The sequence below is a fragment of the Homo sapiens genome, chromosome 22 (genome assembly GCF_000001405.40).
Source record: "Homo sapiens chromosome 22, GRCh38.p14 Primary Assembly".
Taxonomy (NCBI): domain Eukaryota; kingdom Metazoa; phylum Chordata; class Mammalia; order Primates; family Hominidae; genus Homo; species Homo sapiens.
Window position 1 is genome coordinate 38,150,168 of NC_000022.11, and position 15,610 is coordinate 38,165,777.

At 46.2% G+C, this 15,610-nt stretch overlaps 1 protein-coding gene across 9 annotated transcripts in view, besides 3 other annotated features; it reads right to left on the reverse strand.

Annotated features, from left to right (window-relative positions):
- PLA2G6 (phospholipase A2 group VI) overlaps positions 1-15,610 on the reverse strand; it is a 70,336-nt gene that overhangs the window by 38,673 nt on the left and 16,053 nt on the right. The window lies entirely within an intron of this gene.
- Positions 12,051-12,100: an enhancer, noted in NCBI's record as "active region_18993". NCBI's record gives its function as "activates an Ori minimal core promoter by ATAC-STARR-seq in GM12878 lymphoblastoid cells {active_cell/tissue: GM12878}" and the evidence as "EXISTENCE:reporter gene assay evidence [ECO:0000049][PMID:35858748]".
- Positions 13,554-14,054: an enhancer, noted in NCBI's record as "H3K4me1 hESC enhancer chr22:38559728-38560228 (GRCh37/hg19 assembly coordinates)". NCBI's record gives its function as "activates a minimal SCP1, AML or CMV promoter by ChIP-STARR-seq in primed H9 embryonic stem cells {active_cell/tissue: H9 hESC(primed)}" and the evidence as "EXISTENCE:reporter gene assay evidence [ECO:0000049][PMID:30033119]".
- Positions 14,055-14,555: an enhancer, noted in NCBI's record as "H3K4me1 hESC enhancer chr22:38560229-38560729 (GRCh37/hg19 assembly coordinates)". NCBI's record gives its function as "activates a minimal SCP1, AML or CMV promoter by ChIP-STARR-seq in primed H9 embryonic stem cells {active_cell/tissue: H9 hESC(primed)}" and the evidence as "EXISTENCE:reporter gene assay evidence [ECO:0000049][PMID:30033119]".

Here is a 15,610-nt window from a genome sequence, read left to right on the forward strand (position 1 = left end):
TGCACTGAGCAGTGGGAATTTGTATCTCTTTACCCTTTAATCTGGCGATGTAACTGCGTTACCAACAGAATATGGCAAAAGTGATGCCGTCCCAGCTTCCAGACCAATGCCTTAAGAGACTGGAAGTTTCTATTTCTCTTCTCTTGGGACCCAGCCATCATGCCTCAAGGAGGCTGAAGCAAGCCATGGTGACGACTCTTGGTCCTGGGCCCTGAGCCCTGAATGAACTACCAGCCAACAGCCAGCACCAACTTGCCAGTTGCGAGTTACCTTATATGGTGCCATATAAAGTAAAGCTGAGGCTTTCCCACTGAGCTCTGCTCAAATTGCAGATTTAAGGACTAAATAAATGATTCCTTTTATAAGCCACTGTGTTCTGGAGTAGTTTGTTACACAGCAATAACTGATAATGATACATATGTTGCACAATATGTATTGTATGTAACATAACAATTGCTGATATATGTGCCACATTACACCTGTTGAAAATAAAATACAAGGAGGAAATATTTAAAATAGCAGAGGGAAAAAAGTTATCTTCAAAGGGCAACCATTAGAATGACAGCTGGCTTCTCAACAATGGAACCCAGAGATAATGGAATGACTTCCTTAAAGAGCTGAAAAGAAAATAAATGCTGGCCAGGCACGGCGGCTCATGCCTATAATCCCAGCACTTTGGGAGGCCAAGGCAGGCAAATCACTTGAGCTCAGGAGTTTGAGATCAGCCTGGGCAACACGGTGAAACCCCGTCTCTACTAAAAATACAAAAATTAGTCAGGTGTAGTGGTGCATGCCTGTAGCCCCAGCTACTCAGGAGGTTGAGGGAGGAGAATCGCTTGAACCTGGGAGGCGGAGATCGTGCCACTGTACTCTAGCCTGGGCCACAGAGCAAGACTCTGTCTCTAAATAAATAAATGCCAATGAGAATTCTGTACTTAGCACACAAAACAAAATGAAAACAAAAACAAAACCTTCAAGAATAAGGTTAAAATTAAAACATTTCTCTAGTCAAACAAAAAACCCAGAGACTTTGTCATTAGCAGACCTACACGAAAGGAAATACAAAAGCTTTTTCTTTCCTTCTTTTTTTTTTTTGGAGACATGGTCTCACTCCTGTCACCCACGCTGGAGTGCAGTGGTGCAATCAACGCTCACTGCAGCCTCAACCTCCCAGGTTTAAGTAATCCTCCCACCTCAGCCTCCCGAGTAGCAGGGACGTGAACCACCACACCTGGCTAATTTTTTGTATTTTCAGTAGAGACAGGGTTTTGCCACGTAGCCCAGGCTGGTCTGGAAATCCTGGGCTCAAGCGATCCTCCCGCCTAGGCTTCCCAAAGTGCTGGGATTACAGGTGTGAGCCATCGTGCTGGGCCAAAAGCTTTCTCTTCATGTGGAATGAACACGATCCTAGATGGATGCTTAAAGAGGCATGAAAGAATGAAGCACCATGGCAAGTTAAATATGTGGGGGGATCTAAATAAGTATTGATGGTATAGCGTCTTGTTGGGTTTAAAATAAAAACTAAATAAAACAACAGCACACAGCATCGAAGCCTGGAAGGGAATACATAGCTAAAGGATTCTAAGACCAACTTATTGTTCTGGAAGATACTAATGGACCTTGAGTAAGGCAGAGATAAATCTCGTAATCTCTAAGGTTCTGTCAAGATGTGCAAAAGGTTTCAGACTTTGCCCCGCTTGTTGTTGTCAAAGTTTTGCTCCAGAAGAAGACACAATCTTGATTATGCTGAAAAGTAAGCAAACTTACCCTGTGCTCTACAAGGAGACCCTAACTCTATTTTCCAAGGCTGTTTGCTGTATAAACATCCTTTGAAGGTAGCCTGGAACAAAGGTAGTGCTATAATTTGGATTTCTGCCCCCCAAACCTCATGTTAAATTTTGATTCCAATGTTGGAGGTGGGGGGCTAATGGGAGGTGTTTGGGTCATAGGGGTGGATCCCTCATGAATGAATGCCCTCCCTGTGGGGTGGGGGTGAGTGAGTTTTCACTCTATTAGTTCCTGTAAGAACTGGTTGTTAAAAAGAGCCTGGCACTTTTTTTTTCTTTGAGACAGAGTTTCGCTCTTGTCGCCCAGGTGATCTTGGCTCACTGCAACCTCCACCTCCTGGATTCAAGAAATTCTCCTGCCTCAGCCTCCCGAGTAGCTAGGATTACAGGCATGCACCACCATGCCCAGCTAATTTTTTTGTATTTTTTTTAGTAGAGACAGGGTTTCTCCATGTTGGTCAGGCTGGTCTCAAAACTCCCGACCTCAGGTGATCCACTCGCCTTGGCCACCCAAAGTGCTGGGATTACAGGCACGAGCCACTGTGCCTGGCCCGTGCCTGGCACTTTTTAACAACCAGTTAACAACTTATTTTCTCTTCCTCACTTCCTTTCTTGCCATGTGACACTGGTAAGATGCTGGCACCATGTTTCTTGTATGGCCTGAGGAGCCATGAGACAAATAAAACCTCTTTTCTATGTATAATACTCAGACTTAGGTATTCCTTTATAGCAACACTAAACAGACAAAAACAGGTAGTCAATGTCTCTGCTAGCAGGATGTATGGAAATATGAGAGAGACTCTTGGAGAACGATCTCCCAACAGTTACTACTAAAAAGTGTATAACTTCCAAGCTAAGAGACAGAAAAAACAGAATCATATGAAAACGCTCAATCACAAATTGCAAAAGCATTATGCTAAGTGAAAAAGTCAGACTCATAAGACTACACGCTATATGATTAAAAGCAGCAGTGATGGAATGCACATAGGTATAGGAAGACGTCCTCCTGCGGGGAAAAAAAAAAAGGAAGCACATAGGTGTTGCCCAGGGATGGGGTGGGTGCCATGGACTATAAAGGAGGGTGAAGGAAATTTGGAGAATAACAGAAATGTCTTATATCTTGATTGTGGTGGTGGTTACATGGGGGTGTTCTGTTATCAAATGAAGGTGGAGGCAAAGCAAGATGGCCAAATAGGGCTGGGCGCGGTGGCTCATGCCTGTAATCCCAGCACTTTGGGAGGCCGAGGTGCGTGGATCACCTGAAGTCAGGAGTTTGAGACCAGCCTGGCCAACACGGAGAATCCCCGTCCCTACTAAAAATACAAAAATTAGCCAGGCATGTGGCCGCCGCCCCGTCTGGCAAGTGAGGAGCGCCTCTGCCCGGCCCCCGCCCTGTCTGGGAAGTGAGGAGTGCCTCTCCTGGCCGCCGTGCAACCTTCCAAGTGTGAAGCGACAGCCTTGTGTGTGATCTTTCTGCCTTCCCCAAGTTTGCATTTTCGACATTAAAGTTTACTTTTTAATTGAAAAAAAAAGTAGCCAAGCATGGTGGCAGGCACCTGTAATCCCAGCTACTGGGGAGGCTGAGGCTGGAGAATCGCTTGAACCCAGGAGGCAGAGGTTGCAGTGAGCCGAGATCGCGCCACTGCACTCCAGCCTGGGTGAAAGAGCAAAACTCCGTCTCAAAAAAAAAAAAAAAAGATGCCCAAATAGAAACCTCCACCAATTGTCCTCCCTGGAGGAAAACCAAATTGAACTATACACACAAAAAAGTACCTTCATAAAAAGCAAAAATCAGCCTAGGTACCAGCTCAGCTACAGTGTGGCAGAGCACCAAGAGGGCTCTTGGGGTCCCAGATTCTAAGTGTTGGCTGTGGGGTGGCAGTTCTGGACCTGCCCTGGGTCAGAGGGGAGCCCACTACCCTAAAGGGAGAGTCCCAGGCCTGGCAGTGTTCAGTTGCTTCAAGAGCCCTTAGGCCCTGAATGAACGTTGGCAGTGGCCTGGCAGCACTGCCACAGGGCTGGGGCAGTGGTGGCCATGGAGAGAGACTTCTCTGCTTGTGGAAAGGGGAGGGAAGAGCAGGAAGGACTTTGCCTTATGGCTTGGGTATCAGCCAGGCTGTAATAGAATAGAGCACTGGGGAGATTACTAAGGTTTCTGACTGCAGGCCCTGCCTCCCAGATGGCATCTAAGGACCTTCCCAGGATGGGGGTAGGGGGAACTTGCTGCCTTGAAGGGAAGGACATAATCTCACTGGCTTCACCACCTGCTGACTGTAGAGCCCTAGTGCCTTAAGCAAACGTAGGCAGTAGCCAGGCAGTGGAGACTGTAGGCCTTGGGTGAGACCCAGTGCTGTGCTGGCTTCAGGTCTGAGCCAGCATAGTCCTAGTGATAGTGGCCACAGAGGTGCCTGTGTCACCCCTCTCCTAGCTCCAGGCGGCCCAGCACAGAGAGAGAGACTCCACTTTTAGGGGAGAAAGTAAGGGAAGAGAACAAGAGCCTCTGCCTGGTAATCCAGAGAATTCTTCCAGATCTTATCCAAGACCACCCAAGTGGTACCTTTACGAGTCTGCAAGAGCCATAGTATTAGTAGGCTTGGGGTGCCCCCTAATGCAGATATGGCTGCAGTGACCAAAAACTTAGATCACAATACCCAAGTCCCTTTTATTACCTGGAAAGTCTTCCTAAGAAGAACAGATACAAACAAGCCCAGACTGCAAAGACTACAATAAATACCTAACTTCAATGCCCAGACACTGACGAACATCACAAGCATCAAGACCATACAGGAAAACATGACCTCACCAAATGAACTAATTAAGGTACCAGTGGCCAATTCTGGAGAGACAGAGATATGTGACCTTTCAGACAGAGAATTCAAAATAGCTGTTTTGAGGGAACTCAGTGAAATTCAAGCTAACACAGAGAAGGAATTCAGAATCCTAACAGATAAACTTAGCAAAGAGATTGAAATAATTTAAAAGAATCAAGCAGGCTGGGCACAGTGGCTCACGCCTGTAATCCCAGCACTTCGGAAGGCCAAGGCAGGCGGATCACAAGGTCAGGAGATCGAGACTATCCTGGCTAACATGGTGAAATCCCATCTCTACTAAAAATACAAAAAATTAGCCAGGCGTGGTGGCGGGCGCCTGTAATCCCAGCTACTCGGGAGGCTGAGGCAGAAGAATGGTGTGAACCCGGGAGGCAGAGCTTGCAGTGAGCGGAAATCGCGCCACTGCACTCCAGCCTGGGCGACAGAGCAAGACTCCATCTCAAAAAAAAAAAAAAGAATCAAGCAGAAATTCTGGACTTGAAAAATGCAGTTCACATACTGCTAAATGCTAAAGGGAGTTTTTCAATCTGAAAGAAAAGGACATTAATGAGCAATAAGAAATCACTTGAAAGTACAGAACTTAATGGTAATAGCAAGTACACAGAAACATATAGAATATTATAACACTGTCATATGTAGACCACTCATATCTTGAGTAGAAAGACTAAAAGAGGAACCAATCAAAAATAATAACTACAACTTTTCAGACATAAACAGTACAATAAGTTAAAAAGTGGGGGGACAAAGTTAAAATGTAGAGTTTTTATTAGTTTTCTCTTTGCTTGTTTGTCTGTTTATGCAATCAGTGTTAAGGTGTCATCAGTTTAAAATATTAGGTTATAAGATATTATTTGCAAGCCTCATGTTAACCTCAAATCAAAAAACATACAGCAGATACACACAAAAAAATAAAAAGCAAGAAATTAAAACATACCACCAGAGAAAATCACCTTCACTAAAAGGAGAACAGGAAGGAAAGAAAGAAGATCACAAAGCAACAAGAAAATAATTAATAAAGTGGCAGGAGTAAGTCCTTACTTGTCAGTAATAACATTGAACATAAATGGACTAAACTCTCCAATCAAAAGACACAGAGTGGCAGAACGGATAGAAAAACAAGACCCAGTGATCTGTTGCCTACATGAAACACACTTTACCTGTAAAGACACACATAGACTGAAACTAAAGGGATGGAGAAAGATATTCCATGCAAATGGAAACCAAATAAGAGCAGGAATAGCTATGCTATTCTATGAGGCAAAACAGACTTCAAGACAAAAACTATAAAAAGAGACAAAGAAGGTCATTATATAAAAGGGTCAATTCAGCAAGATAATGTAACAATTTTAAATACATATGCACTCAACACTGGAACACCCAGATATATAAAGGAAGTATTCTTAGAGCTAAAGAGAGAGATAGACCTCAATACAATAATAGCTGGAGACTTCAATACTCCACTTTCAGCATTAGACAGTTCATCCAGACAGAAAATCAACAAAGAAACACCAGCCTTAGTCTGCAGTATAGATCAGATGAACCTATTAGATATTTACAGAACATTTCATCCAACGGCTGCAGAATACACATTCTTCTCCTCAGCATATGGATCATTCTCAAGGATAGACCATATGGTAGGCCACAAAACAAGTCTTAAATTATTATTATTGTTATTATTTTTTTTTTGAGACAGAGTCTTGCTCTGTCACCCAGGCTGGAGTGCAGCGGCGCGATCTCGGCTCACTACCAGCTCTGCCTCCCGGGTTCACACCATTCTCCTGCCTCAGCCTCCTGAGTAGCTGGGACTACAGGCACCTGCCACCATGCCTGGCTAATTTTTTGTATTTTTAGTAGAGACGGGGTTTCACTGTGTTAGCCAGGATGGTCTCGATCTCCTGACCTCGTGATCTGCCTGCCTCGGCCTCCCAAAGCGCTGGGATTACAAGCATGAGCCACTTCTCCCAGCCAAATTACTTTTTAAATTTGAAATCATATCAAGTATCTTCTGTGATCACAATGAAATAAAACTACAAATCAAAAACAAGGTATTTTGCACACCATACGAACACATGGAAATGAAATAATATGCTCTTGAATGGTCAATGAAGAAATTAAGAAGGAAATTTAAAAACATCCTGAAACAAATGATAATGGAAACACAACATATCAAAACCTGTGAGATACAGGGAAAGAAGTACTAAGAGGAAAGTTGTACCTATAAGCACCTACATCAAGTAAGTAGAAAAACTTCAAAATAATCTAATGATGTCTCTTAAAGAACTAGAAAAGAGCAAACCAAACCCAAAATTAGTAGAAGAAAAGAAATAATAAAGATCATAGCAGAAATAAATGAAATTGAAACAAAACAATACAAAAGATCAACAAAATAAAGTTTTTTGAAAAGATAAACAAAATCAATAAATCTTTAACTAGACTAACAAAAAAAGAGAGAAAACCCAAACAAAAAAATCAGAAATGACAAAAGAGATATTACAACCAATATCACAGAAACTCAAAGGATTATTAGAGGTTACTGTGAACAATTATATGCCAATAAATTGAAAACCCTAGAAGAAATGGATAAATTCCTAGGCATACACAACCTACCAAGATGGAACCGTGAAGAAATCCAAAACCTAAATAGACCAATAACAAGTAATGAGATCAAAGCTGTAATGAAAAGTCTCCCAGCAAAGAAAAGCCTGGGACCCAGTGGCTTCACTGCTTAATTTTACCAAACATTTAAACAAAAACTAATACCAACCCTACTCAAACTATTATGAAAAACAGAGGAGAGAAAACTTCCAAACTCATTCTATGAGGCCAGTATTGCCCTGACACCAAAACCAGACAAAGACATATAAAAAAAGAAAACTACAGGCCAGTATCCCTGATGGATATTGATGCAAAACTTCTCAACAAAATACCAGCAAATCAAATTCAACAACACATTAAAAAGGTCACTCACGGCCAGGCGCAGTGGCTCACACCTGTAATCCCGGCACTTTGGGAGGCAGGGGCAGGTGGATCACCTGAGGTCAGGTGTCGAGACCAGCCTGGCCAACATGGTGAAACCCCGTCTCTACTAAAAATATAAAAAACTAGCTGGGTGTGGTGGTGGGCGCCTGTAATTCCAGCTACTTGGAAGGCTGGGACAGGAGAATTACTTGAACTCAGGAGGTGGAGGTTGCAGTGAGCTGAGATTGCACCACCGCACTCCAGCCTGGGCAACAGAGCGACACCCCATCTCAAAAATAAATATATAAATAGGAAGGCTAGTCTGATACAGGCTCCTCTGTCATGGCCAGAAGTGGAAGTTCATCCTACAAGTTTGATACGTAGTATTTGCATCATCATTGGGTCAAGATATTTTCTTTTTCTTTTCTTTTTTTTTTTTTTTTGAGATGAAGTTTCACTCATGTTGCCCAGGCTGGAGTGCAGTGGTGCAATCTCGGCTCACTGCAACCTCTGCCTCCCGGGTTCAAGTGATTCTCCCGCTTCAGCCTCCCAAGTAGCTGTGACCACAGGTGCCCACCACCACGCCTGGCTAATGTTTTGTATTTTTAGTAGAGACAGGGTTTCACCATGTTGGCCAGGCTGGTCTCAAACTCCTTACCTCAGGTGATCCACCCGCCTTGGCCTCCCACAGTGCTGGGATTACAGGCGTGAGCCACTGCAACCCGCCACGTCAAGATATTTTCTAAATTTCACTGTGACTTCTTTTTTGAACCATAGATAATTTACATATATCTTGCTTAAAATTCAAACATACGGGCTCATTTATAGTTACATTTTTGCTATTGATTTCTAGCTTAATTGCACTGTAGTTGGAGAACATAGTCTAAATCTCTTCAGGTATCTGAAATTTGTTCATATTTGCTTTATGGCCAGCATAGGTCAGTGTCTATAATTTTTATATAGGTGTTCTTGAAAAGAATGTGTATTCTGTTAGTTGGTAGGACAACTGTTTTATATATGTTCCATGGTCTGAATGTTTGTGTCTTCCTAAAATTCTTATGTTAAAACTTAATTCTCAGTGTGATAGTATTAAGAAATGGGGCCATTAGGAGGTAATTCGATCATCAGGGCTCTGCCCTCATGAATGGGATTGGTGCCATTTAAAAAGCGGCTTGCCAGGCACACTGGCTCACACTTGTAATCCCAGCACTTTGGGAGGCCGAGGCGGGTGGATCATCTGAGGTCAGGAGTTCGAGACCAGCCTGGCCAATATGGTGAAACCCCACCTCTACTAAAAATAAAAAAATTAGCCGGGTGTGGTGGTGGGCGCCTGTAATCCCAGCTACTCAGGTTTTCAAAAAATAAACAAAGCCAAAAGTTGGTTCTTTGGAAAGATTTTTTAAATTGGCAAATCACTAGCAAAACCAAACAAGAAATAGAGACAACACAAAGTACCATCCCTTCAGATCCTCCATACATTAAAAAGGAAATAAGGGGACCTGCAGACAAATTTGACAACTTCGATAAAATAGAAAAATTCCTTGAAAACACAACATACCCAAACCGACATGAGATGAAAATCTCATAGTCCTATATTTGTTAAAGAAATCGAATCCATGTTTTAAAAGCTTCCCACAAATAAACTCCAGGGTCACATGGTTTTACCCATGAATTCTTCCAAACATTTAAGAAAGAAAGAATACAGGCTAGACATGTGACTCATGCCTGTAATCCCAGCACTTTGGGAGGCTGAGGTGGGAGGATTGTTTGAGCCCAGGAGTTCAAGACCAGCCTGGGTAACTTGATGAGACCGTGTCTCTACAAAAAATTTTTAAAATTAGCCAGGTATGGTGGTGCGTGCCTGTAGTCCTGGCTACTCAGGAGGCTGAGGCAGGAGGATCACTTGAGCCTGGGAAGTTGAGGCTGCAGTGAGCCATGATCATGCCACTGAAGTTTGGCCTGGGTGAGAGAGAGATAGATGAAAGGAAGGAAGGAAGGAAGGAAGGAAGGAAGGAAGGAGATCTTCAACAATTTTTAGAAAATAGGAGAAAGAAGGAATGCTTCTCAAAGCTTTAAGATAGAGAAGGACTTCCTTAAACAAGACACAAAAAGTACACCGTAAAGAAGATGAACAAATTTGACTTCATTAAAACTAAGAACTCATGTTTATCAATAGATACCATTAAAAGAATAAAAAGGCAAAACACCGTGTGTGCAGCTGAACACGTATCACTGACAAAAGGTGTGTATTTGGACTGCACATGTACCAAAAAACTCCTCCTAAAACTCTGTAAGAAAAAGATAAACAACTTTATTTTTTAAATAGTCAAGAGAATTGAGCTGATACTTCACTGAAGAGGATATCCAAATGGTTAATCACTGTATCAAAAAGTGCTCAACTTCATTTGCAATCAGGCAAATGCAAAATAAAACCACAATAACATACTACTAGACACCCGACAGAATGACTAAAATTTTAAAACCTGACAGTACCAAGTAACAGAAGATATGAAGTAACAGAAAGTGCCATTTACTGCTGCTTGGAAAACAGACGGGCGGTATTATTTACTAACGTTGAAGACAAGTTATGGCCCATAATGCAGCCAGTTCACTTCTAGGTATGTCTACCAGAAATGTATGCATGTATGCACCAAAAAAACTAGAAATAACCCAAATTTTCATCAGTAGTAGAATGAGTAACTGTGATATAGTAGACAATGGAATTCTATTGCAATGAAAATGACAGACAGCTGCACACAAAACGTATCAATCTCGCCAACAAAATGCTAACAAAGAAGCCAGATAGAAAAGCCTTTATCTTGGCCGGGGGCGGTGGCTCACGCCTGTAATCCCAGCACTTTGGGAGGCTGAGGCAGGTGGATCACGAGGTCAGGAGATCAAGACCATCCTGGCTAACACGGTGAAACCTCGTCTCTACTAAAATACAAAAAATTAGCCGGGCGTGGTGGCGGGCACCTGTAGTCCCAGCTACTCAGGAGGCTGAGGCAGGAGAATGGCGTGAACCCAGGAGGCAGAGCTTGCAGTAAGCAGAGATTGCGCCACCGCACTCCAACCTGGGCAACACAGTGAGACTCCATCTCAAAAAAAAAAAGCCTTTATCATAAAAGGCAAGTTATTGGTTACCCTTCTTTGGGAAGAGGGGACAAAAGGAGGGCTTCTGGGGTGCTGTAATGTCCTATCTCTAGATTCGAGTGGTGGTTACACAGGTGTTTGTGATAAATCACTGAGCTGTATATCATTTTCTCTATATGTGTTATATTTTGCTATTTTTGAAAAGTTTAAAGAGAGAAAACAGGAGGAGAAGAATGAAGACAGTGGAATATAAGCAGTCTCTGGAGGAAAAAGTAGAGTCAAGAAATAATTTTTTTTTAAAGAAAAAAATAACCCATTGTATAGCGATGGAAAATAACTTAGGTCAGGACATTATAACAGAAAACTACAGACTGGGAGGCTTAAACAACCTTTATTTCTCACAGTTCTAGAGGCTAGGAAGTCTATGATCAAGGTGCTGGCTGATAGAGTTCCTGATGAGGGTTCACTTCCTGGTTTGCAGATGGCTATCTTCTCGTTGTGCCCTCACATGGCAGAGACAGATCATCTCTTTCTTGCCTCTTCGTCTAAGGGCACTAATCCCATTCATGAGGGCTCCATCCTCATGACCTAATCACCCCCATAGTGCTCTACCTCCTAATACCATCACACGAGGGATTGGGGCTTCAACATATGATTTCGGGGGGATACTTTCAATCCATAGCAAAAAATATATAGTAGAAAAGGGGAAAGTGTTATGTAGGAAAGAGGGGAGATAATTGTTCAAATGGTGTCAAGAAGTAGATGACAGGAGATGATGGCCTTGAATGGGGGGACCACCCTCAGCTAAACACATCGGTGCTGACAACAGGGAATGTGGAGTAGGCGGGGACAGAGGTGTGTGCATGGGGTAGAGGGAATTCTCCTCTGGCTATTTCTATTTTCTCAGCGAGACAGCAGCAGGGCTATCAGCTGAGAGTAAGCGTGGAGGGGAAGGGGCTGCAGGCTGAGGGGAGGGAAGGAGGCATGCCTTCTGGGAGAGGGGTGAACAGAGAAATGCAGAAAGACGTCAAACCACATCATAGGCTCACTGTGGCTCATGTCGTGATTTCAAAGTGAGAGCAATAGGGCCGGGCAGGGTGGTTCATGCCTGTAATCCCAGCACTTTGGGAGGCCAAGGCAGGCATATCACCTGAGGTCAGGAGTTCAAGACCAGCCTGGCCACCATGGCAAAACCCTGTCTGTACTAAAAAAAATACAAAAATTAGCCGGGTGTGGTGGCGGGTGCCTATAATACCAGCTACTCAGGAGGCTGAGGCAGAGAGAACTGCTTGAACCCCGGAGGTGGAGGTTGCAGTGAGCTGAGAGTGTGCCACTGCACTCCAGCCTGGGCAACAGAGCGAGACTCTGTGTCAAAAAAAAAAAAAAGAAAAAAAAAAAAAAAGAAAGTGAGAGCAGTCAGCAAAAAGGTATGTTCCCCTAGCCATGGTGGAGAACTGAAACCAAGCAGTTCTGGGGTGGTGATGCCAGGATGACGAAGAGAGAGAGAAGCAAGGAGGCAGGAAGTATAGGTGAAGGAGTGACAATGACAGGCCATGGAGTCCATGCTGGGTACAAAGCAAGGCACATGAACGGGATGGGGCTGGGAAAAGCGGCCAGGAGCAATTCCCTGTCAATGGGGAAAAGCACTGTGTGGGTGGAGGACTAGAGGGAATGAACTGGAAAGACAGAAGGCAGAGACTGGAAAGTGGGGTGCTTGAAACTTGTATTTACGGGAGAGCTGCTGTCACTGGCGATGATAAAGGCCAGCGCGTGGTCATGTGAATGTGGAGGGTCAGGAACCAGAGGCAACGCTGAGTCAGGGGCTCACATCTTTGAGGATGTGGGGGAGCACCCCAGGCTCGTAGATACCTATCACCGGGGTGACAGCAAGTGGTATTGTAGGGTGACAGAAGATTCAAGGCTGGGGGCAAGGAGGACCCTACCCCACCTCCAGGCCCAGTGGGAGAGGGACTGGGAGAGAAAACTCTCAGGAGGCTGCGGGGCAAGCGGGTCCTTCAAGGAGAGCCAGGTGTGGGTTACAGTGAGGAGGCAAAGGGGAGATTCAGGGAGAAGGCTGAGGCTCTGGAGGACACACGGGGGTGTGTCTCTTCCCTCCCTTCTAGAACCCCAGGCTGAAGCCACCTGGCCTCCACTCAGAAGCCTCTGCTGTGTCTCTGCTGGGGTGGGAGGGGTCTGTGGCTAAGCCTCAGGGGACCTGCAAACCTCTTGAAAGTGGCTGTGTGAGCCTGTTCTCATTCCCCAGGGACCTCAGGGGGTCCTGGACCAAAAAAAATGCCAAGGACCCTCACGCTAGAGCAGTACCTGAGTCCCCAGTTTCAAAGCCCAGCACAGGCCCTTCCTGCCCACAGGCTCCCCACAGGGCCCCTCCTCTGTCCTCTGGGCCTTTCCTAGTACCTTGTCTCTGTAGGGCCTTTCCCTCCAGCTGGTGGAGTCTTCTGGACCCCTTAAGGTCTATCTCTACCCCAGCCACCCCAGTGGAGCCTTTCCCACGCCCTCTGGTCAACACACTTGGCCTTCAGCAACCATGGATACATCTAGCCACTCGGCAGATATTTACCGTGCACCCACGGAGAGCGTGGCACACCACCAGGCATCAGGAACGCAGAGGAGACTTGGCCCCAGGCCCTGTCCCTCAGGAGCCCTGCAGTCTGGAGGGGAAACAGATGTGGAAACAGACCCACGGCAACCTAAGGCAAGAGGGGCTGTGTCTTGGCCACATGGGGGGTGCTGAGGCTCTGAGTGGGAACAGGACAGGCCCACAGAGCAGGAGCCGTGTGTCCAGCCAAGGAGTTGGGAAGGAGCATTCTTAGCAGAAGGAGAAGCAAGGGCAAAGAGGCCGTGTCGGGGACAAGGCCTGTGTAGGGAATACAAGGCCCCACTCTAAAGTTATCTCACTGAAGGCTGGGTACAGAGCCTCCTTTTCTCGCAGAGACCTGCCGCTTTCCACTCTGCTTGGTGAAGATGGGATGTGGGAGGACTGAATGGATGGAGGAGCTGGCCCCAGAGTACGTGGCCAGGACACAGGGCACTCCACTTATCTGAGGTTTCTGATAAGCAGTTTTATGGCAAAGTCCCAGTCCAGAGAGCCTCAAAAGTCAGCTCCCGGTAGGGAAGCACAGATCACACACTTCTATCATCCTTCCCAGGATGCCTGGGAGGTACAGCCCTGTTTCTGCTGAGATACCAGTGAGAGGCTGGTTGATTTCATCAAATGTCATCTGTTACAAGTCAATGCCAGCCGTAAATGATTAATCTGTACCAGGAACAGAAGTATCTATGCTATCATAGTGTACACAGGCATATTACAAGTGACCCCTGGGGGCTCACACGGGGAGAGCCAGGGCCCCCGCACCATAGGTCAGGCAGGAAGGGCCAGGATCAGCCCAGGCGGGTGGAGCTCCACTCAGCTCGCCACACTACAAAGCAGCCCTGATGTAAGAAAGGTAAACGAGTGGGTTCTGGAGCCAGGTGACAGGGTCTGAATAATCGCTACGCTGACCAGCTGTGTGATCTCAAATTCTGCAAGCCTCTGTTTCCTCATCTGTAATAGGAGGTCAGTAATGACCCCACCTCGTGGGACTGTCGTGAGGATAACATGAGTTACTACTTAGACTAGTGCCAAGCCCAGGCATGCAGGACCTGCTGGGAAACTGCAGATGCTCCTGCTGCTGTCGCTGTCTGTATCAGCAGGGTCCAGTCTCTCCGCCCAGCAGCAGTGCTGTGGGACTCTCCGGCCTTAGGTTATACAACCCAAGAATTCAGAAGCTCCTAATTCCATCCCCCAGGTCCATCCAGAAGCTCAGCCTGGCAGCTCACTGCAGCAACAGCAGCAAAAGAACAACAGAAACTCCTCCACCTGGAGCGGAAGGCTAGCAGCCCATGCTCACTCTAACACGCGTCAAGTACTCAGGACAGTCCAGAGGCCTCTAGGGCAACACAGGAGGAAGATCGTTTAGAAGGCAGAAACTCAGCCCTGGCCAGAGGCAAGTCCAGTGCACCAGGCCTGCTCTCCACAGACCGCAGGGTGTTGAGAGGAGCTGGGAGAACACTGCAATGACCACCCCCGGCCCTGGAGAACCCCAGGGCTCCAGCAGTGCCCTGATGACCCTCCTCCACAGCCTCGACCCCACCCCACCCCATCGCAGCCCTCACTCCAGGTCACAGCCTAGGCCTTGGCATTACTGCTTCTGGGACCCCTGATAACCTCAAACCCTGCATCCCAGTCCCCATCCTCCACCTCCCACTTCCCAGCTCACTCCTTCAACTGCCCTCAATGCAACAGTCCTCCACCCTCCACCCAGGTGGCACAGAGGGCCTGGCACACAGCAGCCCTCAATGAATACTCTAAAGCTAAATTAATATATCACATTCATTTGTTCCACAAACCTGATCTACGCCAGGCACCTGCTGGGGGCTGGGCACACTGTCATGAACCCAACAGACACAGTCCCTCCCCTCACAAGGTCTGTGGCCTACCAGGAAAGCAGGATCCCCAGTGCAGGGACGGGTGCCATGGGATGCCCAGCAGAAACTCCTAATCCAGCCTGCAGGTCAGGGGAGGGCAAGAGGAAGGAAGGCAGGCAAAGAAAGGGGAGTATTCCAGGCCACAGCAAGAGCCTGGGCAAAGGCCAGGAGCACAAGGCGGCATGAGCTGAGAACACAGAGGCAGAAACTTGATCACACTGGGCCCTTTTAAGTCATTAAGCACCTGATGTGTTAAGAAAACAGGAAGCTGGCCGGGCGCGGTGGCTCACTCCTGTAATCCCAGCACTTTGGGAGGCTGAGGCGGGCAGATCACAAGGTCAGGAGATCGAGACCATCCTGGCTAAGAGTAGATGGTGAAACCCCGTCTCTACTAAAAATACAAAAAAAATTAACTGGGCGTGGTGGCGGGCGCCTGTAGTCCCAGCTACTTGGGAG